This window comes from Homo sapiens, chromosome 5 (genome assembly GCF_000001405.40).
Source record: "Homo sapiens chromosome 5, GRCh38.p14 Primary Assembly".
Taxonomy (NCBI): Eukaryota; Metazoa; Chordata; class Mammalia; order Primates; family Hominidae; genus Homo; species Homo sapiens.
In genome coordinates, this window is record NC_000005.10 from 75,625,500 (window position 1) to 75,650,285 (window position 24,786).

Below are 24,786 nucleotides of genomic sequence, written 5' to 3' on the forward strand. Positions count from 1 at the left end.
GACCGAAATATCACTTTTGCTGCATATTAAATTCTCTATTTCTTAGTTTTCAACAATCTAGTATTAATTTGGCCTTTGTTGATGAGGCAGTATATGGCTGCAGCTTGTCAGAGTGATAGATTCTCTTTTTCTGTCTTCTTGGGGAAGCACGGCTTGACAGTAATTCACCTTGCAGCCTGGTCTGGGAGCCTTGAGGTCATGCTCATGCTGGTTAAAGCTGGAGCAGACCAGAGAGCCAAGAATCAGGTAGGTATGTGGGTCACACCTGGACAAAAGCTCTTACCTCACCATTGCAGGAGAGAGGAAGTTCTGAGGTCACTGTCTATCTCCCCCACCCCTGGTTCTCTTCAGGATGGAATGAGCGCCCTCCACTTTGCCACTCAGAGCAATCATGTGCGCATCGTGGAGTATCTTATTCAAGATCTGCACCTCAAGGACCTGAACCAGCCTGATGAGGTGTGTTCACTTTGGTTGTGTAGGTCTTGCATACACCCCTATCAAATTTCACTTTCTTCCTGCCTCTGGTACAGCTGTGAAAGCAGCCAGCACAGACAGACCCGGCCCTGTAGCCGGCTCCTCCATCACCATGGCAGACCACAGAACCAAAGAGGAGTGTTGGTATTAGTGGTGGTCCTGGCCCCTGCTTGTAGGGAGAACAGGAAATGTTGAGGAAGCAGCCAGATTCCTTCTTCCCATTCTACTCCCTCATCCTGGCCAGAGTGTGGATAGTATCCTATCCCCTCTAGTAATCAGAATGTGTACCTAAATTTTATTTTATTATACTTGGCCTTTTGGGAATATATTTGACCCAAAGCTATACAGTAATGAGCCTTGAAATACAATGCAGTTTTACTGCATTTGTCAATATTCCTTTTCTTTACATAAGGAGATATATAACAATACCAGCTACTACTTAACGAGTATCTATTAATGTAGGTACAGAGGAAAGCTATTTACATACATTATTTCAGTAAGAGGTCTTGGGCCTGGCACCTACCAATGCTCAACAAATCATTGCTGAATGAATGAATGATCTCATTAACCCCTACAATAATCCTATAAGGTAGAAAATATTTTGCTCATTTGTAGAGGAGAGGAAGTTGAGATTCAGAGACCAAACACCTGATCAAAAGTCTCACAACTAAAAAGTGAGAGCCAGGACTTGAAGCCAGGTCTGGCTGAATCCAGCCTTCATGCTGTGCTGTCTCCCTTCTCAGACTAACAGTGGGTATTGGTCATGTCAGGGACTGTCCTTCCCCCGGAATATCTCCCTCTAGGCCTTGTTTTTTTTTTTTGTTTGTTTGTTTTGTTTTCTTCATACAGGAGTAGCTTTTGTGCACTTGGCATTTTGATTTCTCAGCAGTAGAATATACTTCATGAATGGGATTTCCTTTTCTCTGTGCCACCAGAATACTACACCATAAAAGTTTCTTTAGAAGCTGGTCAGTAATAGTCACTTCATTTCACCTGTTTTTAAAAATTTTGACATTTGTTTTCTGACCTTAATCTTAAAAACAACAATATTAATGATAAGAAGTATTTCTTCAAATTAGGTCTATAAACTTCTTTGACTTCCTCTACATATGATTAAACAACTATACATTTACAGCTTAGAGGAAGACAGACTTGGGCTGTGGTCTGGTTAGTACCACCATGCACTAGCTGTGTGGTTTTAAGCAAGCTCTTCAATTTCTGAAACCCCCAGTTTCTCCATCTATACAATGGAAACAATAAAATCTACTTTATGGTAACAACAAGGGTTGATAGGAGAAGTCTTGTCCCACATATAATTTTTTTTTAAATCAGCAAACCTCCATTCTTTGATATATAATGATTGACATTTCCTCAATCTTATGTAAAAGTACCTATGCAAATGCGCTTCGTGGTAAGCCATTCCATAACCCCCTTTCGTTTATGCCATTCCTATGTAGCAATATTGTAATAGCCACTGCTGAGATGCTTAAATGAGCTAATGACTATAAAGCACTTAGCAACAGGCCAGGCACATTGTAAGTGTTCACTGTTGTAACAATTGTTATAGGATAAAATATCCTATCTGATTTTCTCAAAGTGACAATCATAGTCAAATGCTATTTAGTATCAGAATAAGGAAGTTGAATCTTCCTAATTTTATCCATGCCAAATAGAGGTGTGGCCAATGAATGAATTCCATTCAGTTCAGTTCAGCAGATATTTGTTGACGGCCTGTTATGCATAAGACACACAGTTATTTTCCCCTTCAATGTGCCCTGATTGCTTCCATGAAAGATGGTAGTGTGTGGGAAGGATCAGGCAGGCTGATGGGGTTCAGAAACCAAAGCAGGTTTGCGGGGAGCCTTCCCCACTTCTTGAGTTTCTGCTGGCCAGCAGCCTTCCTGTCCAAAACTCTTTTCAACTGATTCTGGGCATGTCCTCTTCTCTCACCTTCTTCCTCCTCTATCTGTTGGGAAAAAGGGTTGGCAGCAAACTGCAGAGAGTAATGTCCAGCTGCAAGATCTTAAACTGAGTTCAGAGACATACAAGGAATGAGCAAATAATGAGTCCACTGGGTCATCTAGGGAAAGAAGACTCTTTGAGTCTGAGCCCAACTTTAGTCTCTTAAGAAAACTAAATTGATGAATAGAAAACACAGAAAAAATCTACTTTTTTTCTAAGATCTGTGAGTGGGTCATACCTGTTGACAAAAGTCAGTTGGAATGGTAGTTGCCAGGAGCTAGGAGGAAGGGAAAGTGGGAATTATTGTTTAATGAGGACAGAATTCCAGTTTTGCAAGATGAAAAGCGTTATGGAGATGGATGGTAGTGATGGCTAGACAACCATGAGTATACTTAATGCCACTGAGCTATACACTTAATAATGGTTAAGATGATAAATTTAGTTATGTGTACTTTACCATAATAAAAAAAATTGTGGGGGGAAATGCCAGTTGCAACTGGGATCAGAAGCTCAGGGTCTATTGATTTACTGCTGGGTTTCCCATTTGCATCTGCTTAAAGGTATTGTGGAGTTTGTGAAATATATTTGATATTTAAGGCATCTTCACCTTCACAGTGTTACTCTCTTGCCTAGTTTCTTATCAACAGAAAGTGATTGAGAGCTTGTGTACCTGCCAGGTTTGGTAAAATCCATCTCTTTGGCCTGGAGGGAACTCCAAAAGCTAACAAGGAAAGCTTTCCTGGAAGGAGGCCCTTAAAACAAAATGGATTTAACTAGGCCAGGGGGAATTTGGGTGGGGAGAGATGGAGGTTGCTGGGAAACCTTCTGAGATTTCCCCCAACTCCACAGCCATAAAAATCATTGAGGCCTTTCCAGGGGAGAGAGATTAGAGCAGCCAGGAGTTATGAATAAAGTATAGATATTTTGAATCTACATGTAAATGTCCATCTGGTGATCAAAAATAAATACTCAGACTAACATGTTTGGGGAGGGAGAGAAATAGAAAGGCCTCACACGCCATTCATATATTTGTTGAATATTTACAAGAATTTGGTGGTACAATGTTGGGTTGGTTTCAGCTACGAATATGGTAGACTTCCATTGGTTTAAAGTCTCTGGAAGTCAAAATACAAAGAAGCTTCTTTTTCTGGGAGGGAAGGGGATAGTGAGTAGAAGGGGACTTGAGAAGACACCTGTTTTCTTATATAGACCCAAGGCAACATTTAACAACTTTAGATTTCATCAAATCTATTGTTTCCCATCTGTGAGGGGAGAACTAACCCAGTGTCTCCCACCCCACCAGTGCCACTTTTTCATATTTAACACACTGCTTTTTTTTTTTAACCTCATGACACATATTTTTTTACCTCTGAAATTTCTAGTTATTCAGGGTTTCCCCTGCCTCAAGTGCCTGATCCCGGGGTGATGGGAAATGTTGTAGGCAGGAACATGCACTGGAGGCCCACCAGCGCCTCTCCTCAGGGGCTCCTAAGAGCGACACATCTCAGGGATCCCTGTGGTAAAGGAAGGTCAGGTTGAACTTTGGATACCCACTTAATGGCTATTTATGAAATTTTTGCTGAATTTGATAACATCAAATTTGATTACTTCATCTTCTCAATAAACTTAAAAATAATTTATAATAAACAATCCCAATCCCTCAGACTTAACATGCAAAAAAAAAAATTAAATGCATTGAGTTAAAACATATCAGGTTAGCCAGGCACAGTGGCTCACACCTGTAATCCCAGCACTTTGGGAGACAGAGGTGGGAGGATCTCTTGAGCTCAGGAGTTTGAGAACTAGCCTGGGAAGCATGGTGAAAACCTGCCTTTACAAAAAATACAAAACATTAGCTGGCGTATGGTGGTGCGCACCTGTGGCCCCAGCTACTCGGGAGGCTGAGGTGGGAGGATCACTGGATCCCAGGAGGTGGAAGCTGCAGTGAGCTGAGATCATGCCACTGCATTTCAGCCTGGGTGACAGAGTAAGACCCTGTTATAATTAGGTTAAATAGACATCGAGTTAATAGAGGAAAAAAAGAACAGGAATCCTGGACCCTTCTTCTTTTAGTACTTAAACGGGCAGGATCCTGAGCCAGGGAGTCTTTGCGATTTGCCCAAGGCCTGGAGCCCAGGGCTCTGACACCAAGCTCCACCATCCTCCTGGCTGGAAAAGCTTCCTGCCTTCCAAGTAAGGGAGGTCCTATGAGACTGCCCTGGATAGAGGCCTATTTGAATGTGATGAAAAAGGATTGGGTAGTTAAAAAAAATAAAGGACATGATAAGAAACTATATTGTTTAAAAACCACATATATCTTTGAAATTCCTGTTATTTTGTCTAATAATATGTACTCAATGAGAGAAAAGATTTATATCTCATTATGCTATAATCTCATCTTTATGCTACCTTTTCATATATTTATTACAGATTATTTTAAATGTCTTTACTTTGTGTAATTTTGCTTTTACATCTTTTTCCTGGACGATAACTGTTTTAAAGGGCTTCCAAAGTTCAAACTAATAGTGTTTCCATGGAAAGGAAAGATGTTTCATCTGTGGTAACTGTAGTCTTTTCTCAGAACCTCCCATCTCTTAGCAGGTGAAGCTTTCTTTCACTCTGTTATCTATGCAGTAATGCAAAGCTTTGTAGCAACCACGGGTAAAAGAAAAGTGCCATTTTAAAGTTGAACAGATTAGTATTGTTACCAAACTGATAAATATGTATTAGTTAGAATTCTTTCTGTTGTAAAGACAAAAATCCATCTTGATCGAGATTAAGCAAAGAAGGTAATTTATTAACTTCGAACTAAAGAGTTTGAGGGTGTATCTTGCCAGCTTCAGGCATGGCTGGACCCAGCTCTTTCTTTCTTCATTTCTTAGCTGTCTGCCTGTCAGCATTATTCATAGGTATACTTTTCATATAGTAGGAAAGATAGCTGTTAGCAGCCTCAGGTTTAATATCCTTATGGATTTCAATCCATAAGAAATAAAAATAATCTGTCATTAAATGTTTATATATAAATCTCAGGAACAACTCTGGCCCTACCTGAATCATATGCCCAATCTCGAACCAATCACTGTGACGACAGGGTTATGTAATCACTTCATGTGGCAGAAGGCAGGCAGGTAAGGCCTGGAAATGGACAGCACAAAATGGGCTAAATGACAGGGTGTGTGTATGTATGTGTGGTTGTTCTGCAAAGTAAAATGAAAGTGCTGTTACTAGAAGAAAGGTAAATATAAAGGCAAAGCAACAAATGCCACACTAGGGCACAAGACCTTCATGTATTATTTGTGGTCTCTGTGCATAAAGAGCTAACAAAAGCACTTACCTTCTGCATGATAATTTAAATTTTGATTAACTTTTTGCCTCTGTGTCCTTGCAAACTAAATAAAGATAGATTATTAACTATGTTACTAAGCAGCATAGATTGTGATAAAATTACCTCTAATTGGTAAATTCCATCTAGACTGGGAAGAACTACAGATGAATTATAAATTCCAGAAGGGGAAACCATCTTTTGGGCTTCTCTGAGTGCAGTGACTCTTGGAACTAGGCATCTCTCTCATGGGGACCCTGAAAGCTGTGCCTAAGGAGTTATTCAGGAGATATTTATTCTTGTGGGGCATGAGCCTTCTAAGCCAGGATGGCTCCGACCCATCCAATGTGGATCTTGTCACTTTGCAACTAAGCGCTCATCTGGGGGTCCAAAGACAATACCTCCTGGACAGCTATGTGGACCGTGTCATGAAGAGAAAACAGCTGATAGATACTGACAAGCTGTAATTTGTGCCCACATCTTCTGAGAAGACTGGTGCCAGATGTTGCCTGTGATAACTTTATGAGTCTGAAATGTTTAGTTGAACCTTAAAAGACTCACTGGTGGGCTAGGCGCGGTGGCTCACACCTGTAATCCCAGTACTTTGGGAGGCCGAGGCAGGTGGATAACTTGAGGTCTGGAGTTTGAGACTAGCTTGGCCAACATAGTGAAATCCCGTCTCTACTAAAAATACAAAAAATTAGCTGGGCATTGTGGTGCGCGCCTGTAATCCCAGTTACTTAGGAGGCTGACGCAGGAGACTTCCTTGAACCCAGAAGGCAGAGGTTGCAATGAGCCAAGATTGTATCACTGCACTGCAGCCTGGGCAACAGAGCAAAACTCTGTCTCAAAAAAAAAAAAAAAAAGAAGAAAAAGAAAAAAAGACTCATTGGTGGACATTGAAGTTGCTCATAATTCTCTGACATAGGCAGTTGATTTAAGGAAGCCATCTAGTCAAAGGTGACAGAAACTCAACCCAAACCATACTAAGGAAAGGAATTTATTGGCTCATTCAATTAAAAATCTAGCCATGGATTCAGGTATGTCTGAATGCAGGAGATCAAATGATGTCAGCAGGGCTCTTTATCTCTTCCTAGTTTTCAACTCTGCTTTTCACTGTGCTGACTTCATTCTTAGGCAGGGTCTTCTTATCAGGTGGCAAAGAGGACTACTAACAGCTAGCTGATGGCTCTAGAATAAAAATAGGATAAGCCAAAAAAATATCTCATGGTTGGCTCTCATAGGCCTAGCATGTGACCATCCCTGAACCAAGCACTGTGGCCAAGGGATAGGTGGTAGAAGAGGCAGGAGCCTATAATTAACAGCTCCACAAAATGAGCCAGGGGTCATTCTCCAGTGTAAAAGATAGCAGGCAGGAATCAGGTAACAAGTGCTCTTTTCTTCTGTTCCAGTGCATTACCAACCTTTAAAGGCCTTCTTCCACCATTTCTCACCACCCGCCTTTCCAGCCACAAACACACTCATGCTGAGTTATGTACCCCCATATATAAGCAGCACTCGGTTACTACATTACATTATAATTACTTGCTTATGTGTCCATCTCTCCTTTTGGACTCTGAGCTTGAGGATGGGCAATATATTTCTCATCTTGGTCACTCTATTGCTTAGCACATTATCTGGCATATTCATAGGCGCTCAACAATTGTTGAACAAATGAATGAATTATTTATGAGGATATGTGACCAGATGTTTTCATCTGGTATATAATCACTGTCTCTTGTTCCCTCTTTTTGATTTGTTTACATGAAACTTTACCTGTAGTCACTATTTGCAGATATTGATATATCAAACACAATGATTTTTGGTCTGTCATTTCCAAAGAGTTGCTCATGACTCAAGATTAAATTTTACCCTTCAATTAGTGCCTACCTTGAAAGCAGAAAACTGTGGTTCCAAGCAGTCTCTGTTTCTTTCCTTTGCCATTTCTTAGTGATTTCCTGAGAATGAAATCACTAAACCCTTTGAAGGGCTGGGGATGTAGATCTCATTGGTGACATATGTGGCCCAAGAATGATGAATTAGGTGAACTTTTTGGTGCAAATTTGTTTCTCCAGCTTCCATACATGCATAAATACAGACCTCTGTAGGACTGATCTTTATAGATTTGTTTTTGTCTTCGCTTTTTGCCATTTATTATTTCAGCATTTTTTCTTCCTTTTTTTCTCCAGTTATTGGGGGCTCCTATGTTGTTATCTCAGGTTAACAGTGGCCGTGATCTTTTCATTACCCTATTTTATCAAGTGTTAGATGAGGCTCATATCTATTTTTTAACATTAAGACACCTTGCTAAGCTTTCAGTTAGTAACACACTAAGCCAATCTGTGAGTGTTTTCTTCTCTTTAATTGAAGAAAATACTTCTGCTACCGTATTGCCACCACAACTTCCTTTTCCTTATTTTAATTATCTCAAGTTACAACATTACATTTTCTGTGGATCTGTTATAGTTTGGCTATGCTTTGTCCTCACCAGAATGCATGTTGAAATTGGATCCCCAATCTGGTGGTGGTAGGAGGTGGGACCTATTGGGAGATGTTTGTGTCATGAGGGTGGATCTTTCATGAATGGCTTGGTGACATTCTTCAGGTACTGAGTTCTCACTCTGGTGGGACTAGATTCATTCTCATAGGAATAAATTAGTTCCCACAAAGGTGGGAGCTAGGATGCTCTTGGGTTTTGTCCCTTCACACATGCTTGCATCCCTTTGACTTTCTCTGTCATGTTATGACACAGTGTGAAAGCCCTCACCAGAAGCCAAGACCATGCCCTTGAACTTCCAGCCTGCAGAACTGTGAGCTAAATAAACCTCTTTTCTTTATAAATTACCCAGCCTGAGGTATTCTGTTATAGCAACACAAAGCAGACTAAGACAGGTCTTTCACTTTTCTTGATGACATTTTGGCTATGGAAAATATAGTCTCCATTGGCAACATGAAAAGTAGGAGGAATTCCATAATCAGAAAATTCTATATTTGAGCTTATCTTCTAAAAAAATCAAACCTAAACATTTCTCTTCATCTGTATTCTCTGGGTAATGCCTCATTTCTTGATTCCATTTTGTATTGACCTATTCTCAAGAGTTTTCCTATTGATTCTTAGTAGATGTTGTAGATAAATCTATGAAGAAGAAAGGAAGGCCTAAGGAGAAGCAGTTAATCAAATGTCATGTCTGAATGAGCCACATAAATAATAAGCCCCAGAGTAAGGGAAGGCTTAGTATAATGTGCAGGTGCCTGAGACAGGGTCTGACACATAGTAGCTTCTCAGTAAATGGTGAAATAACTATGGAATAAATAAAGTTCATAATATTGCTATATTTAAAAGGGAATCTTGTCATCTGACTGTGATGTTGCACCTCTCCTGATGCTTGAGAGGACCTTTTCTGAACAGTATTTGTGTGCCACCATGAAACAGATTTCATGCTGATGTGGAGTCTCCCACAGTTTTGAGTGAAAACCCAGAACCTGATCTGATTTGGAGTCAGAGATAGCATCATCTTCCTCCCTGAAGAAGGGCCATCTTGGACTCCCCATCATCCTTGAAATGTCGCTAGCTTTGTCCATTGTCTTGCTTGTTCACTAAGACTGTAATAAATGCTTGAGGTTTGTGATTGATTTTTAGAAAGGAAGAAAACCATTTCTTTTGGCAGCTGAGAGGGGCCATGTTGAAATGATAGAAAAACTTACCTTCCTAAACCTGCATACTTCAGAAAAGGACAAGGTGAGTTGGACTTTTATTTCTTTGCTGAGAACAAGAGAAAGGGGAGTAACAATTGATGTAGAGGGGTAACAATTGGCATGTAGATTTGGTGAGGGCGTTTTAGTCAGCAGGAGAGTTAAATTGCTACTGTACTCAGAGAGAATCATGAACTATCCAGGCAAAATCCTTCCACTGTTGCTCTGGGTTGTCCAGATTGGCAGTTTTTGCTTCATAAATGTTTGTGAAGTCGATAGACCACATGGATTTTTCCATGATCAACTCCACCCCTCTTCTCTCCTCCCATGAGGTCTCCTGGAGGCTCAGCCTTATATGAAAGGGGAGGGGAAAACCCTGGGGTAGACGTCCATATCTATATGTACACCTTTGATGACTTTCTTAGGAGAAATTCCTAGATATGGAATTGTGGGTCAAAGGCTTCTGCACATTTTAAAATCTTTGAGTATACAATATTGCTAAAATGATCTCCCAGAAATCTTTCACCATTTTACCCTCACAGAGGTCAAATGGAATTGCTTTTGTTGCTCCATGTTTTGCTAGCAATTGGTAGCAAAGTTAGAACAAGGAGCATGGATGATTTTTTTCCTACTGGTTCAAAAAACTATACCTTTTTATTTAAAACTTAAAAATGTATAAATTTCACTTAAAACTGCAGATACAGTGGTCCACACTCTGGACCGCAGCTTTAACCAAAATGAAAACTTCCAGAAACTCCATTGCAGCCCTTACTATTGAAGGAGCATGCTCTCCTGGCACAGGGGTTTCTACGTCGAGTGTGTCTCTGTTGCAGGGGGGAAACACTGCCTTGCACCTCGCTGCGAAGCATGGTCACAGTCCTGCAGTGCAGGTGCTGCTAGCCCAGTGGCAAGACATAAATGAGATGAATGAGGTATGTGGAAGTGCTCGTTATTGCCATAGGACTTAAATGTGGAAGGGTTGGAGGAATGGCTTTCAAGAAAAGAGTGGGAGGAAAACAAAGGTGTTAGTGCCATGGAGTGTAAAATGTGATGCTGAAAGATTCTTACTTTATTCTTCAAAGTATCCCACAGCACTTCATTTGTTAATCCATTCATTTATTCGTGCATTCATTCAAATAACGTTGTTTAATATGTACTGTATGCCAGATGAAGTATGTATTCTTATTCTAGAAGCCTACAGGGCAAGAAAGGCATGCAAAACAAATAATGTATTGGGCTACATGCAATAATAGAAGTCTACAGAGAATGCCATGAGAACACAGAGAAAGATGTTTTTCAGAAATTACAGTTTTCACAGAAGAGGTGATATATTATCTGGGTCTTGACATTGTAATGAACGTTGGCAGGAGGGATTTTGAGGATGGCATGAGTATAAAGTATTTCAGAGGGAAAAGTCCAAGTAAAAGAACCAAGGCAAGAGTATGGTGTGTTCCGGGCTGACAAGCTCAGGGTGGCAGAAATTGAGGATAGGAGTGCTGGGAAAGCTGGAAGCTTAGTGGGCCAAGGCAGACAGACGATGAAAGGCCATGCTTTACAAGAGGGAGGGTTTGGCTTTGCTGTGGTTGCCAGCAGATACCTTGAAGGGTTTTAAGCAGTGAAAAGGGATGGGATTCATCTTAGGTGTGGGCAGGTAACTGTCACAGCTGTTTGAAAGGTAGACTGGTGCCAGGAGAGCCCAGAAGTGGGGAGGACCAGTCAGGTGACTGCCAAAATGGGGGAAACAAGACCTATGGAAGGCTTCTCACTGAGACACTCATGAGCAACAAACAGGATGAAGTGGTAGGAGGAGGTAGAGTCCACAGGACTTGTGACCAGGACTTGGGGAGAGGGAGGACTTTCTGCCCCCAGCTGTCTGGCTTGGGCTGTTGTTGGGGAGTACAGTGGGGGAGCAGGTGAGTGAGGTAGGTAATGAGGGCTTGAATGGGTTTGTTTGAGGCACTTGGGAGGTGGGTACATTCAGGTGGAGTGTTAGCGAGCTGGAAACTGGTTCTGGAGCCGGGTGCGCTGGCTCACACCTATAATGCCAGCAGTTTGGGCGGCCGAGGTAGGCGGATCATCTGAGGTCAGGAGTTTGAGACCAGCCTGGCCAACATGTGAAACTCCGTCTCTACTAAAAATACAAAATTAGCCGGGTGTACTGACGGGTGCCTGTGATCCCTGCTACTCGGGAGGCTGAGGCAGGAGAGTCGCTTGAACCCGGGAGGCAGAGGTTGCAGTGAGCCCAGATCGTACCACTGCACCTGAGCCTGGGCGACAGAGACTCTGTCTCAAAAAAAAAAAAAAAAAAAAAAAAAAAAAAAAAGAAAGAAAAAAGAAACTGGTTCTGGATTTGGTGCAGGGGATGTGGCTGTGGCTATGCAGGCGGGTTTGTGAGTCATTTGCCCTGGATGGTCACTTCTCAACCTATGGTCCAGTAACTTTTTGTCTGGCTGTTTGGAAACTCAGGTCAGTGGGGTCCTCTTGGATTTCACAGTTTAATGTTCTGATCATTTCTAAACTTGATGCCTCTCCTGAGAGCTACGGAAAGAACTAGTATCATAATCATTTACCTTAAGATACCATTGATTGTAAGGCACACCATTATTTTATGTAACACTCAGAAAAAATAATGCTGCCATTTAACTATGACAAAAAACTTTATTATCACTTAAAATATTTATTTTATGCTGCCTATTTGAAGATGTGTTTAGACTTTTAGTTTTTTACATGCATATATAAAGGAAAAAATAAGCAAGATAACTCAGTTAATTGTTTCTAAATTTCATGCTGAATTAGATTCTTCTAAATCACTTTCTTATTCAGTCTTGACAATTTCTTTCTTTCTTTTTCTTACTTTCTTTTTTTTCTTATAGCGTCAGGGTCTTGCTTTGTCACCCAGGCTGGAGTACAGCGGCATGGGAGATGCAGCATTTCTTAAAGAATGCCCCACTGTTGTTTCTAAGATTTTCTTCTAAGCCACTGATACCCATTCCAATGTAATGCATGTGCTCAAACAACGACAATTATACCCACCTGGTTGACTGAGCTAGCACTCATGACCTAATCACCTTGTAAAGGCCACCTCTTAATCTTATTGCATTGGGGATTTAAGTTTCAACATGAATTTTTGGAGGGACACAAATATTCAAACCAGAACAGAGATCAAGTCCTGTAGTCACAGGATTTATAGTCTTAGTTATTTATAGTCTTAGCTATGCTTTCCCTGTTCTATTAAAACATGTTTAAACCACTGGAATATGTGCATGCATGTGGATTTCATCTTCCTTTTAGCAACTTTGGAGTCAGGGCACATTGGGGAAAACTCATAAAGCCCAGGAAACTTTAATTTCAGATTATAATAGGTTTCATTTGCACAAAATTAAGGGCACAGTGATAATAATATTATCTTTTTGGATATCATTCATAATGTTTGTCCATTTGTGGGCTGCCTCTGTTTCCTGATACAAGCTGTTGCCAGATCAGTTAGAGTGACCCATGTGAATGCTCTAGAGCCGTGGCTTCTAGACATTCTTGGTAGCAAACCCATATCAGTAAAGAAAGTTTGATCATGTGGCTATCACATATACATTTATAATTCAATTAATTCATTATAAAGCATATGCTAGAAATATAAATTTTTAAAATTCAAGATAAAAAATAAATAGCAGTTTTGTATTTTCTCTAAACTCAAAGAATTATTATTATTTATTATTATTAGAAATAGGGTCTCATTATGTTGGTCAGGCTGGTCTCAAACTCCTGGCTTCAAGTGATCTTCCCATCTCAGCCTCCCATGCAACTGAGATTACAGGTGTGAGCTACCATGCACAGCTCAAAGGATGATCTTAGACACATCTGATGGATTTTACTACCAGTTTCCTTTTTGTTCCTCTGCATATATGTACAATATATTTTTCATAGCTGCCCCAAATTCACTTAACTATTCTGTAGCTCTTGGATATTTAGTTTCAATTTTTGTTTATTATAGGTAGTGCTGTCACAGACCTCTTTGTATATAAACCTTAGTCTGAATTCCTCACAATTGCCTTTGGGTATATCCTTAGAAGTAGATTGTAGGGTCCAAGATATGAAACCTTATCAGGCTCTGGGTATATTAAAGACATGAATTGTTTCCTTTACACTTTATTTTAATAAATGTTTTTCCCACTGGGACTTGTCTTTTTGCATCTATTTTCCTGGAAAAATGAGAAGAAAGATTATGGGGAGAAATGCCTTTTCTGTTTGTTTGTTTGTTGGTTTTTTGAGACGAAGCTTCACTCTTGTTGCCCAGGCGGGAGTACAATGGTGTGATCTCGGCTCACTGCAAACTCTGCCTCCCAGGTTCAAGTGACTTTCCTGCCTCAGCCTCCTGAGTAGCTGGGATTACAGGCGCATGCCACCACGCCAGGCTAATTTTTGTATATTTGGTAGAGACAGGGTTTCACCATGTTGACTAGGCTGGTCTTGAACTTCTGACCTGAGGTGATCCACCCACCTCGGTCTCCCAAAGTGCTGGGATTACAGGCATGAGCCACTGCACCCGGCGGAGAAATGCCTTTATAAGCAGATGGCTGTCCCAGGCACCCAGGTAAAGCAGCCTGGAATATAATTTTCCCACCTTGTTGGAATGGGAACACTGGTTTCTACACTCTTGTGTTCCTGTTAACATGATTGTTTATACCTAATTAGCTATGAGTAAAGCCTTCTGAATTTATCTAAGGCAGTTGTTAAGCAGAATAATGTCCAAGGAGGGAAATCATTAGGGAATGGGGAAGGAATTCTGCATTTCTTCCAAATATTTTTAGGAAATTCTACATGAGGAAAGGGAAATAGCCAAGTAGCTATTGTGTGGGACCAGCTCCTTCTTTTTCCTCTATGTTTTGGCCTGAATTAAACTCTTACTTTGTCCTTCTAGTATTTGTCTTGAGTTTCAGGAAACTGAAGTACTGAGATTTTTTTAATTAATGTTATTTTTTAAAATGTCATGTAACATTTAATCAGTTGTAAAGATTAAAGTTATACTTGGTACAAACGTACTTCTAATTTTGTATGTTTCATACTGTACTATAATTCCTTATTTCTGAGATTATCTTTCTTTTTTTTTTTGTTTTGAGATGAGGTCTCACTCTGTTGTCTAGGCTGGAGTGTGGTGATGCAATCCTATCTCACTGTAGCCACAACATCCTGGGCTCAGGTGATCCTCTCACCTCAGCCTCCTGAGTAGCTGGGACTATAGGCATCCACCACCATACTCGGTTAATTTTTTAAACTTTTTGTAGAGATGGGGCTTTGCCACGTTGCCCAGGCTGGTCTTGAACTCCTGAGCTCAAGTATTCTGCCTGCCTCAGCCTCCCAAAGTGCTGGGATTACAGGCCGAGCCACTGAACCCAGCCACTTTGACACTTTTCAGCTGAGGTTTAGTTTTCTTATCTGTAACATGTGGATAATATTAACCCTGCCCTTATAGCATTGTGTGATTTAACTGTGCCAAAGCATATAGTCTTGGCAGTACAAGTTGACACATAGTTGTTCAATAAATGCCATCCATTATTAAGAGTAATGCACAAAAGGCATAGAGAAAGCATGTTGTTTGTCAAGTAATTTCATTCCATGACAAAGGGCAATTAAATTTAACTTATTTTTCCTTTTGTTGGAATGGAGAAACACCATTCTTTCTGAGTGTTGAAGGAGGTCATGAAGAGTGCAGCAAAGTGCTGCTGACAGCAGGAAGTGACACCAACATTCCAAATAAAGTATGTGTTCCAGACCATGTTCACTCATGCAGTGGGAAGGAGACTTAAAATGTTCTTTGGAAACACTGGTCCTACATTGATCCACTCACTGGTACTTTAGAATTAATATTTATAATATGCTTTGTTTTTGGTAAGAATTAATGATTTACCTCTAATATTCCCCAGTTACTGTGTCCTCAAAAGCAATGCCATTCTTTCTATTCTTTTGGGGAAGGAATAATTGAAAATGGGGCAAAATGAGCAAGTACTTGTCACTTCTTAGAAACAGACACTCTATTCTACTTTGTTTTTTCATAGCAACTAGTGCACGCTTGGCTTATACAGAGAAGACGCTGAAAAAAAAGTTTATTGTGTGAAAGCTCAAGTGGTCAGCCTGGTGCAGGAAGAAGGAAGGATGGTGCCTTCCTCTAAATGCAGAATACTTTTGTATGTAGTCATTGTGCTAAGAACCTTTGAAACTTTTGAGACTGTGTTATTATTTTTATTTTTTTAGATCACAAAAATAGAATTTGGAAAAGTTAAGGAAATCATTCAGAATCATACAACTAGTCAATAGCAGTGCAAGGATTCAAACTAATGTCTGACACCAGTGCCTCAGCTTTTAACCCCTGCAATGGCTTTGTCTTCAGATGGTTTAGTTTCTTTTTCTGTTTTTCTAATTAATTGTAATGAAAACTCATGACAAAAAATTTGAATAGCACCAAAGGGTATATGATAAAAAAGTGTCTTACTCCAACCCCACATCGCAATTTTACTCCCCAGAACTAACATCCTTAATAGTTTATTTAGTCTTCCAGGAATTTTCCATGAATCCACATGGAAAATGTAATTAAATCCATACACATATATATACCAACACTGTATAAACAGTAGCACAGTATATAATATATGCTGCTCTGCACCTTGGTTTCTTTTGATTGCCAATATATTTTAGAGATCTTTATATCCACACAATATATAAACAATTTCTTTTCAACAAGTACAAATTTAAACACGCAAGAATAAATTCCCAATCAAGAATAAAGTCCCAAACTGGCATGTTTGATACCCTGTATTCTGCTGGTGGGAGTCTATATTTGTATAATCTTTCGAAAAGCAATTTGTCACTTTCCTTTTAACCACACATGGAAAATTATGTTAAGGAAATAATTTAAAAGGCAGAAAGCTAGCTGCATGCATTCAGATAGATGATAAAGTTAGCTCCAATAGCCAAGAACTAGATACAACATATACGTGGAATGAAAGGTAGGAGAAGGCTGAAAGAAGGTTTGGTGCATCTACTTGGAAAATTATGTAGCTGTTAAAAATTATAGTGATAAATACTAAAAATATGTTGCAATATTGAACATGTTAATCATAGAACACTAATTGAAAAAATATAGTATAGTAAATATTAATATAATATTGGATTTATATATACATGCACAGGGATTGTGAGAGAGGAAAATCAAAGTAGTGTGAGTTGATTCCCACTGAAGTTGCAAGGTTATTGATGCAATAAATAAACACAAAGTTAAGAATTCATGGGAGGTGGGAGGAGCCAAGATGGCCGAATAGGAACAGCTCCGGTCTACAGCTCCCAGCGTGAGCGACGCAGAAGACAGGTGATTTCTGCATTTCCATCTGAGGTACCGGGTTCATCTCACTAGGGAGTGCCAGACAGTGGGCGCAGGCCAGTGTGTGCGCGCACCGTGCGCGAGCCGAAGCAGGGCGAGGCATTGCCTCACCTGGGAAGCGCAAGGGGTCAGGGAGTTCCCTTTCCGAGTCAAAGAAAGGGGTGACGGACGCACCTGGAAAATCGGGTCACTCCCACCCGAATATTGCGCTTTTCAGACCGGCTTAAAAAACGGCGCACCACGAGACTATATCCCACACCTGGCTCAGAGGGTCCTACACCCACGGAATCTCGCTGATTGCTAGCACAGCAGTCTGAGATCAAACTGCAAGGCGGCAGCGAGGCTGGGGGAGGGGCGCCCGCCATTGCCCAGGCTTGCTTAGGTAAACAAAGCAGCCGGGAAGCTCGAACTGGGTGGAGCCCACCATAGCTCAAGGAGGCCTGCCTGCCTCTGTAGGCTCCACCTCTGGGGGCAGGGCACAGACAAACAAAAAGACAGCAGTAACCTCTGCAGACTTAAGTGTCCCTGTCTGACAGCTTTGAAGAGAGCAGTGGTTCTCCCAGCACGCAGCTGGAGATCTGAGAACGGGCAGACTGCCTCCTCAAGTGGGTCCCTGACCCCTGACCCCCGAGCAGCCTAACTGGGAGGCACCCCCCAGCAGGGGCACACTGACACCTCACACGGCAGGGTATTCCAACAGACCTGCAGCTGAGGGTCCTGTCTGTTAGAAGGAAAACTAACAACCAGAAAGGACATCTACACCGAAAACCCATCTGTACATCACCATCATCAAAGACCAAAAGTAGATAAAACCACAAAGATGGGGAAAAAACAGAACAGAAAAACTGGAAACTCTAAAACGCAGAGCGCCTCTCCTCCTCCAAAGGAATGCAGTTCCTCACCAGCAACGGAACAAAGCTGGATGGAGAATGATTTTGACGAGCTGAGAGAAGAAGGCTTCAGACGATCAAATTACTCTGAGCTACGGGAGGACATTCAAACCAAAGGCAAAGAAGTTGAAAACTTTGAAAAAAATTTAGAAGAATGTATAACTAGAATAACCAATACAGAGAAGTGCTTAAAGGAGCTGATGGAGCTGAAAACCAAGGCTCAAGAACTATGTGAAGAATGCAGAAGCCTCAGGAGCTGATGCGATCAACTGGAAGAAAGGGTATCAGCAATGGAAGATGAAATGAATGAAATGAAGCGAGAAGGGAAGTTTAGAGAAAAAAGAATAAAAAGAAATGAGCAAAGCCTCCAAGAAATATGGGACTATGTGAAAAGACCAAATCTACGTCGGATTGGTGTACCTGAAAGTGATGTGGAGAATGGAACCAAGTTGGAAAACACTCTGCAGGATATTATCCAGGAGAACTTCCCCAATCTAGCAAGGCAGGCCAACGTTCAGATTCAGGAAATACAGATAACACCACAAAGATACTCCTCGAGAAGAGCAACTCCAAGACACATAATTGTCAGATTCACCAAAGTTGAAATGAAGGAAAAAATGTTAAGGGCAGCCAGAGAGAAAGGTCGGGTTACCCTCAAAGGAAAGCCCATCAGACTAACAGCGGATCTCTCGGCAGAAACCCTACAAGCCAGAAGAGAGTGGGGGCCAATATTCAACATTCTTAAAGAAAAGAATTTTCAACCCAGAATTTCATATCCAGCCAAACTAAGCTTCATAAGTGAAGGAGAAATAAAATACTGTATAGACAAGCAAATGCTGAGAGATTTTGTCACCACCAGGCCTGCCCTAAAAGAGCTCCTGAAGGAAGCGCTAAACATGGAAAGGAACAACTGGTACCAGCCGCTGCAAAATCATGCCAAAATGTAAAGACCATCGAGACTAGGAAGAAACTGCATCAACTAACGAGCAAAATCACCAGCTAACATCATAATGACAGGATCAAATTCACACATAACAATATTAACTTTAAATATAAATGGACTAAATTCTGCAATTAAAAGACACAGACTGGCAAGTTGGATAAAGAGTCAAGACCCATCAGTGTGCTGTATTCAGGAAACCCATCTCATGTGCAGAGACACACATAGGCTCAAAATATAAGGATGGAGGAAGATCTACCAAGCCAATGGAAAACAAAAAAAGGCAGGGGTTGCAATCCTAGTCTCTGATAAAACAGACTTTAAACCAACAAAGATCAAAAGAGACAAAGAAGGCCATTACATAATGGTAAAGGGATCAATTCAACAAGAGGAGCTAACTATCCTAAATATTTATGCACCCAATACAGGAGCACCCAGATTCATAAAGCAAGTCCTGAGTGACCTACAAAGAGACTTAGACTCCCACACATTAATAATGGGAGACTTTAACACCCCACTGTCAACATTAGACAGATCAACGAGACAGAAAGTCAACAAGGATACCCAGGAATTGAACTCAGCTCTGCACCAAGCGGACCTAATAGACATCTACAGAACTCTCCACCCCAAATCAACAGAATATACATTTTTTTCAGCACCACACCACAGCTATTCCAAAATTGACCACATAGTTGGAAGTAAAGCTCTCCTCAGCAAATGTAAAAGAACAGAAATTATAACAAACTATCTCTCAGACCACAGTGCAATCAAACTAGAACTCAGGATTAAGAATCTCACTCAAAGCCGCTCAACTACATGGAAACTGAACAACCTGCTCCTGAATGACTATTGGGTACATAATGAAATGAAGGCAGAAATAAAGATGTTCTTTGAAACCAACAAGAACAAAGACACCACATACCAGAATCTCTGGGACGCATTCAAAGCAGTGTGTAGAGGGAAATTTATAGCACTAAATGCCTACAAGAGAAAGCAGGAAAGATCCAAAATTGACACCCTAACATCACAATTAAAAGAACTAGAAAAGCAAGAGCAAACACATTCAAAAGCTAGCAGAAGGCAAGAAATAACTAAAATCAGAGCAGAACTGAAGGAAATAGAGACACAGAAAACCCTTCAAAAAATCAATGAATCCAGGAGCTGGTTTTTTGAAAGGATCAACAAAATTGATAGACCGCTAGCAAGACTAATAAAGAAAAAAAGAGAGAAGAATCAAATAGACACAATAAAAAATGATAAAGGGGATATCACCACCAATCCCACAGAAATACAAACTACCATCAGAGAATACTACAAACACCTCTATGCAAATAAACTAGAAAATCTAGAAGAAATGGATACATTCCTCGACACATACACTCTCCCAAGACTAAACCAGGAAGAAGTTGAATCTCTGAATAGACCAATAACAGGCTCTGAAATTGTGGCAATAATCAATAGTTTACCAACCAAAAAGAGTCCAGGACCAGATGGATTCACAGCCGAATTCTACCAGAGGTACAATGAGGAACTGGTACCATTCCTTCTGAAACTATTCCAATCAATAGAAAAAGAGGGAATCCTCCCTAACTCATTTTATGAGGCCAGCATAATTCTGATACCAAAGCCGGGCAGAGACACAACCAAAAAAGAGAATTTTAGACCAATATCCTTGATGAACATTGATGCAAAAATCCTCAATAAAATACTGGCAAACCGAATCCAGCAGCACATCAAAAAGCTTATCCACCATGATCAAGTGGGCTTCATCCCTGGGATGCAAGGCTGGTTCAATATACGCAAATCAATAAATGTAATCCAGCATATAAACAGAGCCAAAGACAAAAACCACATGATTATCTCAATAGATGCAGAAAAAGCCTTTGACAAAATTCAACAACCCTTCATGCTAAAAACTCTCAATAAATTAGGTATTGATGGGACGTATTTCAAAATAATAAGAGCTATCTATGACAAACCCACAGCCAATATCATACTGAATGGGCAAAAACTGGAAGCATTCCCTTTGAAAACTGGCACAAGACAGGGATGCCCTCTCTCACCGCTCCTATTCAACATAGTGTTGGAAGTTCTGGCCAGGGCAATCAGGCAGGAGAAGGAAATAAAGGGTATTCAATTAGGAAAAGAGGAAGTCAAATTGTCCCTGTTTGCAGACGACATGATTGTTTATCTAGAAAACCCCATCGTCTCAGCCCAAAATCTCCTTAAGCTGATAAGCAACTTCAGCAAAGTCTCAGGATACAAAATCAATGTACAAAAATCACAAGCATTCTTATACACCAACAACAGACAAACAGAGAGCCAAATCATGAGTGAACTCCCATTCACAATTGCTTCAAAGAGAATAAAATACCTAAGAATCCAACTTACAAGGGATGTGAAGGACCTCTTCAAGGAGAACTACAAACCACTGCTCAAGGAAATAAAAGAGGACACAAACAAATGGAAGAACATTCCATGCTCATGGGTAGGAAGAATCAATATCGTGAAAATGGCCATACTGCCCAAGGTAATTTACAGATTCAATGCCATCCCCATCAAGCTACCAATGACTTTCTTCACAGAATTGGAAAAAACTACTTTAAAGTTCATATGGAACCAAAAAACAGTCCGCATCGCCAAGTCAATCCTAAGCCAAAAGAACAAAGCTGGAGGCATCACACTACCTGACTTCAAACTATACTGCAAGGCTACAGTAACCAAAACAGCATGGTACTGGTACCAAAACAGAGATATAGATCAATGGAACAGAACAGAGCCCTCAAAAATAATGCCGCATATCTACAACTATCTGATCTTTGACAAACCTGAGAAAAACAAGCAATGGGGAAAGGATTCCCTATTTAATAAATGGTGCTGGGAAAACTGGCTAGCCATATGTAGAAAGCTGAAACTGGATCCCTTCCTTACACCTTATACAAAAATCAATTCAAGATGGATTAAAGATTTAAACGTTAGACCTAAAACCATAAAAACCCTAGAAGAAAACCTAGGCATTACCATTCAGGACATAGGCGTGGGCAAGGACTTCATGTCCAAAACACCAAAAGCAATGGCAGCAAAAGCCAAAATTGACAAATGGGATCTAATTAAACTAAAGAGCTTCTGCACAGCAAAAGAAACTACCATCAGAGTGAACAGGCAACCTACAACATGGGAGAAAATTTTCACAACCTACTCATCTGACAAAGGGCTAATATCCAGAATCTACAATGAATTCAAACAAATTTACAAGAAAAAAACAAACAACCCCATCAAAAAGTGGGCAAAGGACATGAACAGACACTTCTCAAAAGAAGACATTTATGCAGCCAAAAAACACATGAAAAAATGCTCATCATCACTGGCCATCAGAGAAATGCAAATCAAAACCACAATGAGATACCATCTCACACCAGTTAGAATGGCAATCATTAAAAAGTCAGGAAACAACAGGTGCTGGAGAGGATGTGGAGAAATAGGAACACTTTTACACTGTTGGTGGGACTGTAAACTAGTTCAACCATTGTGGAAGTCAGTGTGGCGATTCCTCAGGGATCTAGAACTAGAAATACCATTTGACCCAGCCATCCCAATACTGGGTATATACCCAAATGACTATAAATCATGCTGGTATAAAGACACATGCACACGTATGTTTATTGCGGCATTATTCACAATAGCAAAGACTTGGAACCAACCCAAATGTCCAACAATGATAGACTGGATTAAGAAAATGTGGCACATGTACACCATGGAATACTATGCAGCCATAAAAAATGATGAGTTCATGTCCTTTGTAGGGACATGGATGAAATTGGAAACCATCATTCTCAGTAAACTATCACAAGAACAAAAAACCAAACACCGCATATTCTCACTCATAGGTGGGAATTGAACAATGAAATCACATGGACACAGGAAGGGGAATATCACACTCTGGGGACTGTGGTGGGGTGGGGGGAGGGGGGAGGGATAGCATTGGGAGATATACCTAATGCTAGATGACATGTTAGTGGGTGCGGCGCACCAGCATGGCACATGTATACATATGTAACTAACCTGCACAATGTGCACATGTACCCTAAAACTTAAAGTATAATTAAAAAAAAAAAATTAAAAAAAAAAAAAAAAGAATTCATGGGAGCCATGAAATATTCAGAATGTGGAGAATGTGGAGAGCTGTGCCTCTACAGTCATTACACAGGTGCCTCCTTGTCCCCAGTCGGTATCCCCCTTCAAGTTCCTGGGAAGGCTTCCCAGGTTAGCAAGACTCTGTCAGGCTTACTCCATTATTTTGTACACTGCCTTACCCTTGTCCTTAATTATTTTGCCCTTAAGTATTTTGCTTTGTAGTGATTTTCATATGCACACGTTCTCCCCATCCGACTGAGACTTCAGGCTCCATATTGCCCCTGTCCTTACAGCCAGTGGTCTCAGCTGCTCTAGGCAGCCTGGAAATGATCGTGAATCCATTTTTTAGCTTTTACTTTTAGAATTTTTCCCGAGTTCATCAGCACACTTCTCAATCAACAACCTCAGCCCCCACTAGCTATCCACACCTATCTGTCCAACCCAGTGAAAACCCTGGGGAGAAAAGCAGTGTGAAGCAAGAAGCCAACAGCAAGAACACACACGAGCCCGGGATGGGTTGGACTTTGGTTTGCTTTCACATTTGTAGGTGATTGCTGTGTTTGATCTTGGACACACTTCACCTGCTGACACTGAGTCTTGGTTTCCAGGAGATTGCTTTTGTGCTCCCTCCCACCTCCCCATCATCAAGGGGAGTGGGTAAAGGGTTGAGTCATTTCTAAGGAGGATGTTGGAGTGAGATTATGAATGTAGTTGACACCTGGCTTCCTCCATTTGTGTTGGGTGGAGGGGCTGCCCAGAATTAGGGCAACAGGCTCTCTTTAGGGCCCTATTAACTGCCCTGGGTCCAATAAAGGCTTTTGTAGGTCCTAAAAACTCATTCCTGGAGGTCCTACCTCACATTTTATCATACATATTTAAGTGCTCCCACATTCCTCTTTACTTTTTTTTTTTTTTTTTGCTGGTAATTGCTCTAAAAGGCTTTTTTGTTTTTGCTTTTTGCAATTATTTGGCTATGACAGACTCACCTAATTTATGATTGACTCTGATTTCTTAGAACTCTGTGTGCATAATTGGGAATTTGAGGGAGGTGAAAAAATGCAACCTACAAATTGTTTATAAATATGAATATTTTATGAATATTACATTTAACAATCAATGAAGTATGAATGTCAATTAAATATTTATTCACTTCAATTTTGTGGTTTTCTTTTGGTATCGTGGAACCAATAATTTTTTTATGTTTTACATTTTAACGGTTTCTTTGGCACATAAAAAGTCTGTAGGCCCTACACACGGAGCCCATGATGCCTAGAGGTAAATGCTGTGGACTCCTACTACAGGGTTCCTGCTTTGAGTTTCTTGTAAATTTGTTTCTGCTTTAGGTGGCTTCTGATCTTCCCAGGGAGGGCACTTCTGACCATTCTGATCTCAGTTTAAATGTCACCTTATCCAAGAAGGCTTTGTTGATCAGCCATTAGAAAGTAGCCAACAAGTCATGCTATTTTATGTCTTGCTGTAGAACTTACAACTAGCTGATGTTATTCTTCTAACAACATCTAGAATCTAAAAAGCAGATTTAATTTAAGTCCACTGATCTGCTGATCTACAAGTCTACCAATCTATGGATCAATTGATTGTCCACCACCACTGAAATGTAATGTCTGAGATCTCGTCAGTGTTGTTTACCAACATATCCCTCCACTATCTAAAATAGTGCCTGGCACAAAATAAGTGCTCAATATATTTTTTGTGGAATGGATAAAATAATAGTTACGGTTACCATACACATTTACTGGCTCACGTATCCTCCCAGTAGTATTGTGATTTCAGAGAAAGAAGGGGGTGATGTGGTAGGCAGGGTCAGGTTCCCCACCCCAGAGATGTTCACATCGCAATTCCCGGAACCTGTGAATATGTTATGTTACATGGCAAAGGAGAATTTAAATTGCAGATGGAATTAAGGTTGCTAATTGGCTGATCTTAAAATGAGATTCTCCTGGATTACCAGGTGGGCCCAATGTAATCATAAGGATCCTTTAAA

At 40.5% G+C, this 24,786-nt stretch overlaps 1 protein-coding gene across 7 annotated transcripts in view; it reads left to right on the plus strand.

The window, feature by feature from the left end:
* The window catches only part of ANKDD1B (ankyrin repeat and death domain containing 1B), a 60,394-nt gene that overhangs the window by 14,047 nt on the left and 21,561 nt on the right, over positions 1-24,786 (plus strand). For 3 of the 7 annotated variants that reach the window (XM_017009814.2, XM_017009815.2, XM_017009816.2), the window contains exons 4-6: positions 148-456; positions 9,399-9,497; positions 10,285-10,383. In XM_017009814.2, coding sequence (XP_016865303.1) covers positions 148-456; positions 9,399-9,497; positions 10,285-10,383 — 507 coding nt within the window. The remainder of the gene's footprint in view (positions 1-147; positions 457-9,398; positions 9,498-10,284; positions 10,384-24,786) is intronic. The other 4 variants (NM_001276713.2, XM_011543618.3, XM_047417686.1 and 1 more) reach the window with 3 other exon arrangements.